Source organism: Homo sapiens, chromosome 13 (assembly GCF_000001405.40).
Source record: "Homo sapiens chromosome 13, GRCh38.p14 Primary Assembly".
NCBI classification, from domain to species: domain Eukaryota; kingdom Metazoa; phylum Chordata; class Mammalia; order Primates; family Hominidae; genus Homo; species Homo sapiens.
The window spans coordinates 81,846,048-81,859,964 of record NC_000013.11 but is presented as its reverse complement, the minus strand read 5'-3'; the positions used below and the strand labels follow the sequence as shown (position 1 = coordinate 81,859,964).

At 32.8% G+C, this 13,917-nt stretch overlaps 1 long non-coding RNA gene across 2 annotated transcripts in view; it reads right to left on the bottom strand.

Annotated features, from left to right (window-relative positions):
* Nucleotides 1–11,126: 11,126 nt before the first annotated feature.
* LOC105370284 (uncharacterized) overlaps nt 11,127–13,917 on the bottom strand; it is a 43,873-nt gene continuing 41,082 nt past the window's right edge. Inside the window, exon 3 of one of the 2 annotated variants that reach the window (XR_942127.3) lies at nt 11,127–11,244. This is a non-coding gene — a long non-coding RNA (uncharacterized LOC105370284). The remainder of the gene's footprint in view (nt 11,245–13,917) is intronic. The other variant, XR_001750061.1, reaches the window with a different exon arrangement.

The following is a 13,917-nucleotide window of genomic DNA, read 5'->3' as shown; positions in this document are numbered from 1 at the left end:
GGGTGCTATTAATAATTTCTGGGGCCACAGACTCAAACCAGGACTATATTGGGAAAATTGAAAAAAATTGCACCCCCTCATCTTATACTATGTTCTACTGCCGAGTGAAGGTTTCAAAGGAAACTATCACTATTAGCCTCAATAAAGAGTAAGATTTGAATGTTACAAGAAGAAATTTTAAATGGAAGACTATGAAGATTAAAAGATCTGAAACTGAGAAGAACATTAGCATATTCAGAGAATAGAAGCCATTAGCAAGCCTAAAATTATTCATAGTAATAGAGTCAGTGTTGGAGAATAGAAGCTCAATACAGGAAGCTGAAACCTAGCTCCCTTTGATAGTTTTTCTGTGTCTTATTACCCCTTTAGGTACCGTCACAGGTTTCTAATATTCATTTCCCACTCTGTGTATCAGTCCCTCAAGTAAAATGCCAGCAGCCTTTTGTCATAGGACGAATACATATTCTATTTAGATATGAAATGTGTAGAATTGGTATCAATTTAATATCTATATTATCTATCAAGTTGATATAATGGTCAAGAGTTGATGAGGGGCTAAACAGTCCCAAGTGTGTCCTTGGGACAAGATTTTGAGAAATATTGGTGAACATTTCTGAGAGTGTTCATCCCTAAGTCTTAGGCAAAGGTACACTTTGCGTAACTGTCCCTCTAAATAGCTTTTCTCACAGCTTACAATGACAAGTGATTTGTTAAATCAGTAGGAGGAAAGACAACACAGAAGTAACTGAAAAATGTTGCTTAACAAAAGATAGTGTAAACCAAAATCCTCTTTTTAAAAAAAAAAAAAATGTCCTGTTTTGAATTGGAGTTGGGGCACTGTAATCACAACTACTGGATTCCTGAGATGAATGAAGTCTCCTAAGGATCCCCCAGTTACAGGAAAAGTGTAGGCTCATCTATATGGGTAGCAGCAACTGTGCCACCCAGAGCCAAAGGAGCATGTTTAATGATCTTTGAGATATTATTTGAAAATTTACCTTTGGGGAAAAATTACAGGGAATCTTGTTCCACATTTGAATTTAAAAAAATAAAGTATCAGTGGAATCCTAAGAATTTCTGAGAGCTGTCAGACTACAAAATTATATTTTAGAATATTAATTTTGCTGCAGCACAGTAGATAGATGGAACAGGGAGGGAAGCAGGGAGTCAAAAGAAAAGTGAAAAATTAAGGGCGATTAATAGATTGAGTCATTTTAAACTGTCTTTTCTGAGGATGAACAATTGTCAAATATTGGCAATTTAATATGGTTAAATGTAGTATTTTACAGATAATTGAATTGTGTAATAAAGTGATGTTAGTGAGAGTAAATAACATAAGAGACATAGGTGTAAGAATATTTCCAATTTTTAGAATGTTATTTCAGTGAAGGGACAACATGAACACATTGCTGGCTTTGAAGAATCCTAGGTTTCAACCATACATCCATGGCAATAGTTGATCCTTACTGTTCAAGACAAGCTAAACATTGGTTTAAGTGTCTTACCTGCATAAGCTCCTGGAATTTTTATAATAACCTTTAAGGTAGGAATTATTATACTCACTCAATAGATTAGGAAACAAAGGTAGAAAGAGTTATTTCCAGTTTGCTCAAGATAAACACAGTTAATAAGGCATTCCCTAGTATTTGAATCCTAGGTTAATGTGTAGTTCTTACTTTCAGTGGCTCAACTATAGTTTGGATTAAGTTAATCTCCATATTTACTCCACATACAGCACTAATTCTTATGTGTTTTTCTTAAGGACCTAGTTTAAGTAAAATTGAGAAGTATGCATAATTTGTTTTCTATAGCTAGAAATGATCAAATTTGAACAAGAATATCAAGATTCTAATGTCTTTAATATGTCTTTGGTACATCCACTAACTTCTCCATAGTTATTCTCCAAAATTATTATACTATATTAAAGCTTGCTGTTTCATATTCTTTCTCATTTCAAGCTCAACCACTATGATCAAACATAAATTATTCAAAGGTACGTTTTAAATGATCATAATAGCTTTTATGTTTCTTTATAGAGAACATTTGCTTTTTAACTTGGCTTTGTTGGACTTAACCCAAAGAAGTAACCTATATATTAAGTTCAGAAAATATAAAAGAGGGTCACTTAAAGGCAGGCTATATTACCAAAATTATGGAATCTTGTAATAGAGATGACTGGCATTTCCTTATAAAATTCTGCCCTTTTAGCACTGAATTTTCTAATTTATAAAATCAATCGCGATTTTTAAAATCGTGAGTATTTTAGAAGTAGCGTCCATGTGAATGCAGTTGAATAGATCACATGCCTGAGGAATCTCTGCCTTTCTTCACTGTATCTTCTCTCATAAGCACAAAAAAGAGGGGGGCTAACATATGAATAGGTATATTTTAATAAATCACTTATAATTTATTTTGCAACAGAAAATTTTATTTATAAAAATATCAGGTTTTAACTGTAATTACTAATGTAAACAGTAACATAATTAATAAATTTCAACTCATAAAAAAGAGATCTTCATTGTATGTCAGTTCTTACTGTCCTGTAGATAACTCCATAAGTTATCCTTGGTATTATTTTCTTTCAATTTTAATTTTTATGGAGAAATCACTATTTGTTTTAATTCAAATTTATGCAACTAATCATTTGTTTAAATACTAACAACTACACTAGATCAGGCATATTCCAATTAGAGTTACAAGAAATCTGATTACAGAAGGATCCTTAAAGTTATCTTCAATAATGCTAACTGAGGATTTCAACAATTTAGCCCAAGCAATGTCATCTTTGTGTTGTTAGTAATAAACAGCATAATTTTAGGTGTAGATGTTATGACATGTATAAGAACAATCAAGTTACCAACTTTAAGGAGAATTGAAGATAAAAATGTAATTTATTTTTGAGTCTCTTTGCTAAATGATACTTCATAAAACTAGGCAAACTGTCTGAATAAATGCTGTTTCACACAGTTAATTTAGCAGCAGCTGCTAATGTGAATGCGTGATTGTAAAAAATATTCAAAGCTATAGTTCTAAGGCTGTTCCACACTTGCTTAATTTTTGCTTTACCAAACAATTACTCATTATATTATTAATACATTAATAGTAGTAGTAATAGTAATAATAATAATAGAACAGACATATTTGTATTGAATGTTATGGCTTATGAAGCATTTTAACTTAGAAATCATATAGCATTTTTTGTAAATAAGAGACAATGATTGACAGTACATACAGAAGGCTCTTACTGGTTCCACTATGGTGCTAGTGACTAGAGAGAAGAAAAACACTTTTTTTTTTTTTTTTTTTTTTTTTTTAGAGAATGTTAACAGAGAAGATGGTGAGACACAGCTGTTTTAGTTGCTAACCATCCTCAGATTTCTACTCTGTATTAGCCTTTCGGTCACTAATTTTCTGCTATTGATAGCCATAAAATTGAAGTCATTATTCATATCTTCCTGGAGAAACGGCAATAGCCGCTGCTTTTTATAGGAAGGCCCAATGTGCCAGCCTGGAAAAGGCAATTCTTCTTTAGACTTTGAGGTAGGGAGTGGATTAGAAAAGAGCTGAGTCAATTAAATTCAACAAGCATTTAATGAACTCTGACTTAATGTGAGACTCCTCATGTCAGGAACCATGCCCCCCAAAAAAAACGAAAAAGACAGGTTCTTTGGTCCTCAAGCAGAGACGTTTTAGAAGAAGTTAAGAAGTGTTAGTTCTAATCTTTGCTCTGCTACCTAATTATTGCAAAATAGTTGGAAAGATAAGTATTTGTCTTATTTGTTAAAGGTAGGGGATTGATAATGATTTATTTTGGGTTTTCTGAGAATTAAATAAAGTGAAATATAGCAGTGTCATCCTATTTTAAAAACATCAAAAAACAAATGCAGAAATATTTTTAAAAATATGAACAGAAGGAGAGAAAACAACAGGGAGAGAGGATGAAGAGTTAAGAAGATCTTAATGCTGGAGATGCAGCTTGTGATTCATGGGTAGAATGTGATGGTAGTAGTGGAGAAAATGTATTCCAAATATAAAAATGTTTAGAGATACAGGAATACAGAGCACATCTGAGCAATAAGAAATTAGTCTGGAATGACCCAAGATAGTTTATACTCACAAATCTATGAGTTTATATTAATAAAACTCCTGCATATTCATCCATAACTTTAGAAATTGTTAACTATCTGCGTTATGCTAAATGGCTTTCTTTCTGTCATTAAATTATTTCACTTCCTATCCCCATTGTCTGGTATGCTTTAACTACATTAAACATCTACTTATTATTTATCATATCACTTATAAGATTTTTCATTACCATCTCAGGCATAATGAGGTAGATTCATTCCATCCTGTTCTACTATAATACTGTGTACCCACACGTATTACGGAAGGCATTATAAGGACTTTAGGAAATAATGGCAAACGAGGCTGATGTAGAAGTGTCCCTTTTCTACTACAAATACACACAGTTATAGAAAATATCCTGAAACTTCAACATATATGTCAAGCACAAAACAAAGAAATGGAAACCTCTGTGGCAAAAAATATAAAAGAACGCTGTGCCACATTAGTAAAAAAAAAAAAAAAAAAAAAAAAAAAAAAAAAAAATCTAAGTCTTTCTGGACCACAGGAGTATTAGATACAGATATAACTGATTGGAGGTAAACATTAGGATTTTAAAGCCTCCTTGACCTAAGATTTTTAGAACTTATGTAATGGGTGTTAGAGAGCTACAACTAACATACACTGTGTGCAACACTGGAGCACTGACGTATTTTCCAGAGTAAATAAGGGGGTTGGGAGATAAAAGGACAATGGCCAGGACTGCAGCCCAAGGCTTGCTATTTTCCAACTGTCAAGGTAGACAGAAAAAACTACAGAAAATTGAAATCTCAAACCGGTGCGAAGTATAAGGTTGATTTCTGAAATAATATTTTATCTTTGCTACGAGAAAATACAACTTAACATTTAAAATAAAATATAGCCCAATTAGTGTGTAGCCCTTAATCCCTAACAAAAACATCTTCAAAATTCTTGCATACAGGTGTTTTTGTACCCAAAAGCATATAGGATAAAGTTGAACAAAAAATTAACAATTGGAAAGCACAATTGCAAGTTAGAGAAGAATTATCAGCATAAGTAAATGCAATAATTCGCACTCAAATATACTGAAAGCAAATAGAGCAACATGATACTCGAAAGCATATATTCACATTTAATTGACTAAATGATTACAAAGAAGGTTTATGAAATATAAGAAAAACATATTCAGCAAATATTACTAAATCAAAGGAATTTTAGCAATGTCATTGGGAAGCTGGTGATCCGATGAATGCATTCATGTTCCTCTCAATTCTTCACTTCTGAAGGCAAGAAGCTGCTACCGTAAACAAGAAGCTAGGTATTCATTTACTGCAAGAGTAATGCCCAGAAGAATGGTCAATTATAAAGGGTTCTTGGGCAGCCGCGGTGGCTCACACCTGTAATTCCAGCATTTTGGGAGGCCAAGGTGGGCAGATCACCTGTGGTCAGGAGTTGGAGACCAACCTGGCCAACATGGCAAAACCCCATCTCTACTAGAAATACAAAAATTAGGCGGGCGCTTGTAATTCCAACTACGCAGGAGGCTGAGGCAGGAGAATTGCTTGAACCTGGGAGGCGGAGTTTGCAGTGAGCCAAGATCACCCCACTGCACTCCAGCCTGGGCCACAGAGCGAGACTTCATCTCAAAAAAATAAAAATAATAATTAAAAAAAAGGTTTCCATGAAAGTTCATTTCTCTTCCACTCTTTTTATTATCTTCTATTAGAAACCAATGTAAAAAAGGTTTTTTTCTATTTCTTATTTCTAAACCTTTCTTTCATGTTGCATTTTTTCATGATTTCTTCATGTGAATCTCTCAGTTTACTCACAGAAACGCATTATGTGTGTGTGTGTGTGTGTGTGTGTGTGTGTGTGTATTCCTTTGCCCATTTTGAAATTGTTGGGGTTGTTCTTGAGTTTTAGGATTTCTTTATATATTCTGAATGTTAATCCCTTACTAGATACATGATTTGGAAATATTTTCTCCCAAACCATAGGTTGTGTTTACTTTATGCTGTTAGCATCCTTTGATATACAAGAGTTTTAAATTTTGATATAGTCTAATTTATTATTGTTTTATTATGTTGCCTGTGTTCATGGTGTCATATCTAAAAAATAATTGGCAAATTCAGTGTCACAAAACTTTTCCCATATTTTCTTCTGAGAATGTTATAGTTTTAGTTTGTATGTTTAGGGCTTTGATGCATATGAGTTAGTTTTTATATATGGAGTAACCTGAGTCCAACTTTACTCTTTTGCATATGACTATCCAGTTTTCCCAATACCATTTGTTGAAAATACTGTTTTTTGCACACTGAGTCATCTTGGTACCCTGTTAAAAATCATTTGAACACATATGTGAGGGCTTATTTCTGGGCTATCTTGTTCCATTGGTCTATATGCCTGTCTTTTTATGCTAATATGACACTGTTTTGATATCTGTAGCTTTAAAGTAAGTCTCAAAATCAGAAAACATGATTGTTCTGATTGTCCTTTTTCAAGATTATTTTGTCTATTTGGGGTTGCTTGAGGTTCCACATCAATTTTAGAGTAATTTTTTTTTAAATTTCTGCAAAGAAAGTGCAATTGAGACTGGGGCTGAAAGCAGAATTTAAATAGGGCCTATTATGTAGAAGAAAAAAAAGACAATGTGCAAATGCAGATTAGAGTCTGACAATTATTGCAGGCTCATCTAGCAATTTATAATTGGGATTACAATAGATAATGGACTGAATCTGTAGATTACTTTAGGTAGTATTGATATTTTAACAAATTTGTCTTTCAATCCATAAACATAAGTTGTTTTTTCATTTGTTGATGTCTTCTTTAATTCTTTCAGCAATGTTTTTTAAGTTTTCAGTGTACATTGCCTCCTTCAGTTTATTCCCAAGAAGTTTGTTCTTTTTGATGCCATCGTAAATGGAATTGTTGTTTCAATTACCTTTTTAGAATTATTCATTTTTAGCATATAGAAATGCAACAGATATGAGTGTTATTTTGTATCCCAAAATTTTGCTAATTTTTAAAATTAATTCTGACAAGCTTTTGTGTATTTGTGAGGGGGTATGAAATATTATATGTATTTTTACGATATATAATATAAAGTAATCTGTGAACAGAAGTAATTTTATTTTTTCCTTTCAAATTTGGAAGGCTTTTTAAAATTGCCTAGTTGTTCTGGATAGGAATTCCAATGCTATGTTGAGTAGAAGGATTTAAGATGGTCAAAATTGTTTCATTTTCAATCTTAGAGAAAAAGCTTCCAGTCTTACATTATTGAGTATGATGTTGGCTGTGAATTGTCACATACAGCCTTCATCATGTCGACATAGTTTCCTTCTATTCCCAGTTTTTTGAGCGAATTTATGATTCGATTTTGTTGACTTTTATCAAATGTTTTTCTGGATCATTTGAGATGTTCATATGTTGTTATCGTTGCTTCTTCCCTTTACTAAGTTAATGTGGTGTATTCCATGGAATGAGTTTTGTTTCTTGCACAATGATGGCATTTTAGGAATAAATCTGACTTAGCCAACTAATATTGTCTTATAGTCTACAAAATTTTCTGTGTATTTCACACATTGAGTTCCTGCACTCAATTACTAAATGTTTCACTTCACAATATTATATTTTTCTCTTTTTCAAATCTGCTGAGCAAATTTTAATAATTGGTCATTCTTAGTGATAATATTGATATTCTTTTTTACTTCTATCCCTTTCTTTTTATATGAAATTCTCCAATATTTGTTATATATTCACTCTCTGTGCATCCAGTTTTGTAATTTTCTTTGTACTGACTTAGGTGACATTATTTAAACTTTATGGTAATGTGTAAGAATTGTGTTAAAATAAAATTCCTACATGTGTTTGGACCTTTCCATACTACCACCTCAAAACTAATTTAAAATATATCTGTTGGGCCGGGCGCAGTGGCTCACACCTGTAATCCCAGCACTTTGGGAGGCCAAGTTGGGTGGGTCACCTAAGGTCAGGAGTTTGAGACAAGCCTTGCCAATATGGTGAAACCCCATCTCTACTAAAAATACAAAAATTAGCTGGGGGTGGTGGCACATGCCTGCAATTTCAGCTACTAGACAGGTTGAAACAGTATAATCACTTGAACCCAGCAGGCAGAGGTTGCAGTGAGCAGAGATTGTGCCTCTGCACTCCAGCCTGGGCAAGAGAGTGAGACTCCAGCTCAAAAAACTAAATAAATAAATAAAATAAAATAAAATGTATTATATATCATATATAAAATATATATTAAATATATTTTATATATGATATATAATATATATTTTTTATATATATGGCTTTATTGTAGGGGAAGGGGTAATGGTTTGTACGAGCTATCTGAACTCTTTTCCAGTGTCATTCTGCTTTTGTCCCTTTATCTCATCCTTTTTTTTCTTTCTTTTCTTTCCTTCTTTTCCTTCCTCCCTTCTTCCTTCTGTTTTCCTTATCTCTTCCTTCTTTCTATTTCAATCTATGAACAGTCTAGGTTGCAAAAAATAACTGTAACTTTTTCCCTCTGAGAGTCCTGTATTTTCTTTGTATTCACTTAAACTGTTAGGTGAGCCTGAATTAATTGTTGAACTCTAATCTGCAATTACATACTGTCCTTTTTTCTTATACATAATAGGCCCCATTTAAATTCTACTCTCAGCCCAGAAGTGATGAGCTGTCCCCAGAACAAACACCAACTTCAGAAATTACCAATCTCTTTGTCCCCTCTTTCTCATAAATTTAGGCATCCAGTGCATTGTTTAAGTATCTCCAGTGAAACTATATATTACAAACATATTTTAAATATTTGTTGTTACAAGAATTTTGCTAGATATCTTGTGTATCACATTTCTAGAAAAATACACTATTTTTCACACTATAAAATAAATGTGTCTCTAAAAAAAAGATGACAGTTGATAAGACAATGGAAAAGTAGATTTGAACATTCTTATTAATAATGAGAAAAAGAGAATAGCAACTTTACCCATCCAAAAATTACAAGGACATAGTATTTAAAAAGAGAACAGAAAGACTATTCATACATTTATATCAATTGGATAGCATTTAGCTATAAAGTCATAAAATATTAGACTTCTATCAAAAAGCATACAAATTTTTATTTCTCACATGAAAGTATTTCGGAGGTAGGCAGTTTGTTGTGTTGTGATGGCTACATGGTGTTAAGACTGCGACCCAGGAATGAGCCAATCCTTCAAGAAGCATCCTAAGCGGCTAACTGAGTCTAAATTTAAATTTGAATCAAATGGCCATTTGCTGACTAGAGGTGACACTCATACTTTGAGTTCCTAGAAAATCCACAGGCCTGCTAAAGTTTGAGGCTTTCGTAGCTGCCTTCTCTTGTTCTCACCACCTAAACCAATCAATAGACTGTGATCTGTGTCGGTCAATCAGAACTCAGCAAGCATCAATCATTCAGAACTAAGCAAGTTTGCATGTTTCATTTGCATAAGCAGACCTGAGTGGACACCTGGGCAGAATCATTTCTGAAAAAGAGAAATCCTCCCTTTGTTTTCTGGACTGTACCTTTATTTTACAGGCTGTGTATCTCTGGTTTGCAAGCTCTTAACTGAAATAAAGTCTATTTCCTCTAAATTACTTTCCAGAGAACTTTTATTTACAGGACCCAGGCTCTCTCTTTCTTTCTACACTAATATTTCCAATAATGTCATAAGCCAAGATGGCTGCTGGATCTCCATTTTCTACCTGTACATGTAAGAAAACAGGAAAAATAGCTGATAAGGGCACTTCCCTCAAATTTTAGGGATTTTTTTTTTCTAGAATTACATAAGGACACATCATTTTACATGTCATTGCCAGAGATTTAGCTAGATAGGGAAATCTGCTGGCAAAGAAATCTTAGAAATTTTCAGCAACATAAAGGGTTATGGTACTAAAAAGACAGGAGAGACACAGATAATCAGAGAAAACTATGAAACTCAGCCACAATTGCAGTACAATATAGATTAATAAACTCATAAATCGATATGCTTTAAACAGCATAACACCCAACTGACTCCCTGCTCTCCTTTTCTCTCTCTGTGTGTGTGTGTGTGTGTGTGTGTGTGTGTATATATGTGTGTGTATATATATATATGTATATATGTCTGTGTGTGTGTGTATATATATATATGTAAAATTTTCACAATGTAACTGAACATATAAAAATGAAAGGATATTTTGATAAAATTATATTTGGTTATAATAATGACTTCAATAAATCTATTATTTGTTTTCTATTCAGAAACCACTCTTCACTCCTTTTACCTCAGGAAAAGTGATGACAGTGCTCAGCTTGGGGGAATAAATCACAATTTATTTGAGTCTGTCATGAAAAATGGTATTTCTTTTGCCAGACACTCAATTTCTTGATTGCCCTTCCAGTAGAAGAAATCAAATATCCTAGTTCTAGTCTAGAATAGAAAACAGGAAGTGTACTGTCAACTTCTATTAAATATTTTCTTGGTTTAACAAAAAGAAGTCAATTTCCATTCTCATTTGGAAGAAGGGATTAGATATTTTAGTGATTTGACATCTCATTTTGAGATAAGAATAAACCTACACTATTTTCTTTTTTTTTCTTTTTCAAGTAAATGCATACATTCTATGCTCTTGAAGTATAGAGCCATGTTCTATGAAGTTCGTTGCAAAAAAGATAAACAAGCCTGGATTGTTGCAAATAGTTAAACAAGAGCTAAGAGCTAAGAAGACAAAAGGTGCTGTAATGGCCTGTGAGGGGTGGGGGTGGGGCACAGAAAAATAAAAATAAAAATAAAAATATAGTGAAGTGTAAATTAAAAGTTATCTCTTATTACAGAATTTAGATATTCTTATTTTGAAACAAATTCATATAAATCAGGCATGATTTATACGTGAAGCAAGTTTATAGCAATTTCATTCACAAACATTTCCCAACTGGAAAATAATTTTCAAAGGTTAAGTAACCTTTAAGCATATATAGAAACATTAGAATATAAAACATTAGAATACAAAAATTAGCTGGGCATGGTGGCACGCACCTGTAATCCCAGCTATTTGGGAGGCTGAAGCAGAAGGATGACTTGAACCTGGGAGGCGGAGGTTGCAGTGAGGCGAGATTGTGCCAATGCACTCCAGCCTGGGCAACAGTGTGAGACTCTTTATCAAAAAAAAAAAAAAAAGAATTCATAAGAATATAAAGAAACCATATAAAAAGAAACTGTTTTCCTAGTAAAGAAAATGTTACTATTTCATTACTAGCAATGAAATTGGTGTCTCAAGAACTGAACTTAACATAGATACTGTAAACTGTAGAGGCATATACATACAAAAACAAAATGCCAAGCCTCTCAACCCATTTTCCTCCATCCCTTTTCTCTGTGTAACATGTCATGTTCATCTGCCTCTTAGTTCCTTTTTAGATATGGCACTTTCTCTTCTCAATTTAATCATGCATCTGTATATAGCTTTTTATGAGTTTCTTCATTTGCTTGATTTAGCTTTTGGTCTTTTTCAATCTTTCATCCCTTGATATTTTACTTCAGAATTTTAAAATTTGCCTAAATATGGTTATTTTTTCTATGTCTATTGCAGAAAAAAGCAATATTTTGCAAGTCTTGAAGGTAAAGGAAAAACAAAACAAAACATAAAATGAGCTACTTTTAATTTACTTTGATCCTACCTGTGATTAACCTAGATAAACTAGTAAAAAAAAGTCCTTAAACATTGATTAATTAATATATACAGTTAAACTATGGAATGTATAATGTAGTTATATATTTGACATAAAAACCAATATTTATATACTGCTTTAGAAATTCCAAGAAGATGGTCACAGGCACTTTACTTATAATTTATCTTAACAAACAGAAAAATTTGAATTTCTCCCCCACATCCAATGATTGCTATATAATTGTTTTCTGTTATTATTTTCAAAAGAAGTATCATCTAAAGGATAGAGTCTAACCTATTAATTTTATTTACTCTTTAATTTTGTTTATTTTTCACTCTTACCCAACCAAATGTCTTCAAAATTTTTAGAATAAGGATTTTTCTTTTCAATGCTATGTCTTCAGCAGTCAGAAGCATATTGGTACATAGGTAGAGATCAACCAATAGTGACTGAATAACTATAAAATAAAATTATCTCAAACTTGACTTTATGAATGAAGGAAACATATTCAGAATATACAGTTTTGGCCGGGCGCGGTGGCTCACGCCTGTAATCCCAGCACTTTGTGAGGCCGAGGCAGGCGGATCACGAGGTCAGGAGATCCAGACCATCCTGGCTAACACGGTGAAACCCCATCTCTACTAAAAATACAAAAAATTAGCTGGGCGAGGTGGCGGGTGCCTGTAGTCCCAGCTGCGCAGGAGGCTGAGGCAGGAGAATGGCGTGAACCCCCGGGGGCGGAGCCTACAGTGAGCCGAGATCGAGCCACTGCACTCCAGTCTGGGCGACAGCGAGACTCCGTCTCAAAAAAAAAAAAAAAAAAAAAAAAGAATATACAGTTTTACTAAAGCTATAAAAATATGAAATCACAGAGACAGTAGTTGAACTCATGTCTCTTGCTTCTAAATCCAAAGTCTTTCCAATAAGTGGAATTGCCCATCTGTTAATTTTTTCATTTAAATGATTAAAAATGTATTTCTCAAGATGGCGAAAGATATCTCTAGTTAATGAAAGTAGTTGAAAATAAAACACAAATAATTTTAAGTATTTTAACTTGTTTCCACTAGAAGAGATTTCATAGTTACTAAGAACTTGAGTCATCTTTAGAAATCATTCTAAATTAAATTATAGAGCATTAAAATACTGATAAAAAGAAACACTTGAAATTTGCTGAAGTGACAGATGGAACATAATTTCCAGAAATGAGTTGTAAGTTCCATAAAAGTGCAAAGTCTTTCTGTTTTATAAGTGCTAAATTGCGATTGAGGTTCTTAGAATGTAAAACTCAAATAAGGAACAAATTTAAGACAAAGAGGTATAGATTTAGTAGAGAGCTTAAATGAGTCAAATGTATTTTAAACATTTCATAAACAATGAAAAGAAAGAATTATGCATGTAACGCAATCTGCTATGCAAAATTTAAACTATTTGACTAAATTATATGTAAAATGAGCATATTTTGAAAGAAAATAGCACATGCCATTCAGACAGTTACCAGTATGTAACTGCAAACAGAGTATCCAATTCATATTCTAGAAAAATATTATACTTGTAAACTAAGTATACCCCCCACAGCCTGTTAAATTGCGCACTACCAAACTTCTTTTATAGTTTTAGAAAGTGACAGAAAGCAGACAATTGAAAAGCAAAACTAATTTTAAACATCAGCCTCCTTATTAAATTTTCTACATATAAATTTTAGTTACATTATGATTGTAATTACTATCAGCCTTAAGAAATATAGCTTAGTATATCAGAAACTACTTCTATGTTTAGATAGTATATTGCCTGTAGGAATATTTGGCTGATATTATTGTGAGCCTCTTGGTTGAACAGAAATTTGTCAGATTTCCAAATCTTGATTTAATGAAGAATATTAAAATATTGTGATCAAATTTCGTTTATAAAGTCAAGTTTTCATGATTCTTTGCAATAATATTATGATATTTTTAAGTGAACATACTATGGGTGCATTAAATCTACAGTGTTGCTTTTGTTGTTTTAATCACCATAAGAAATAATCTTGCTATTGTCATTTTTGCCTGACTGAGAAATGATACGAATATTTTAGTTACGAAGTAAGTGGTAGAAGATTTGAGCCACCGCGATTTTGTGTTTTTCCTGTAGTTAAAGGACTTGCAAAGAGTTACTGAGAAATA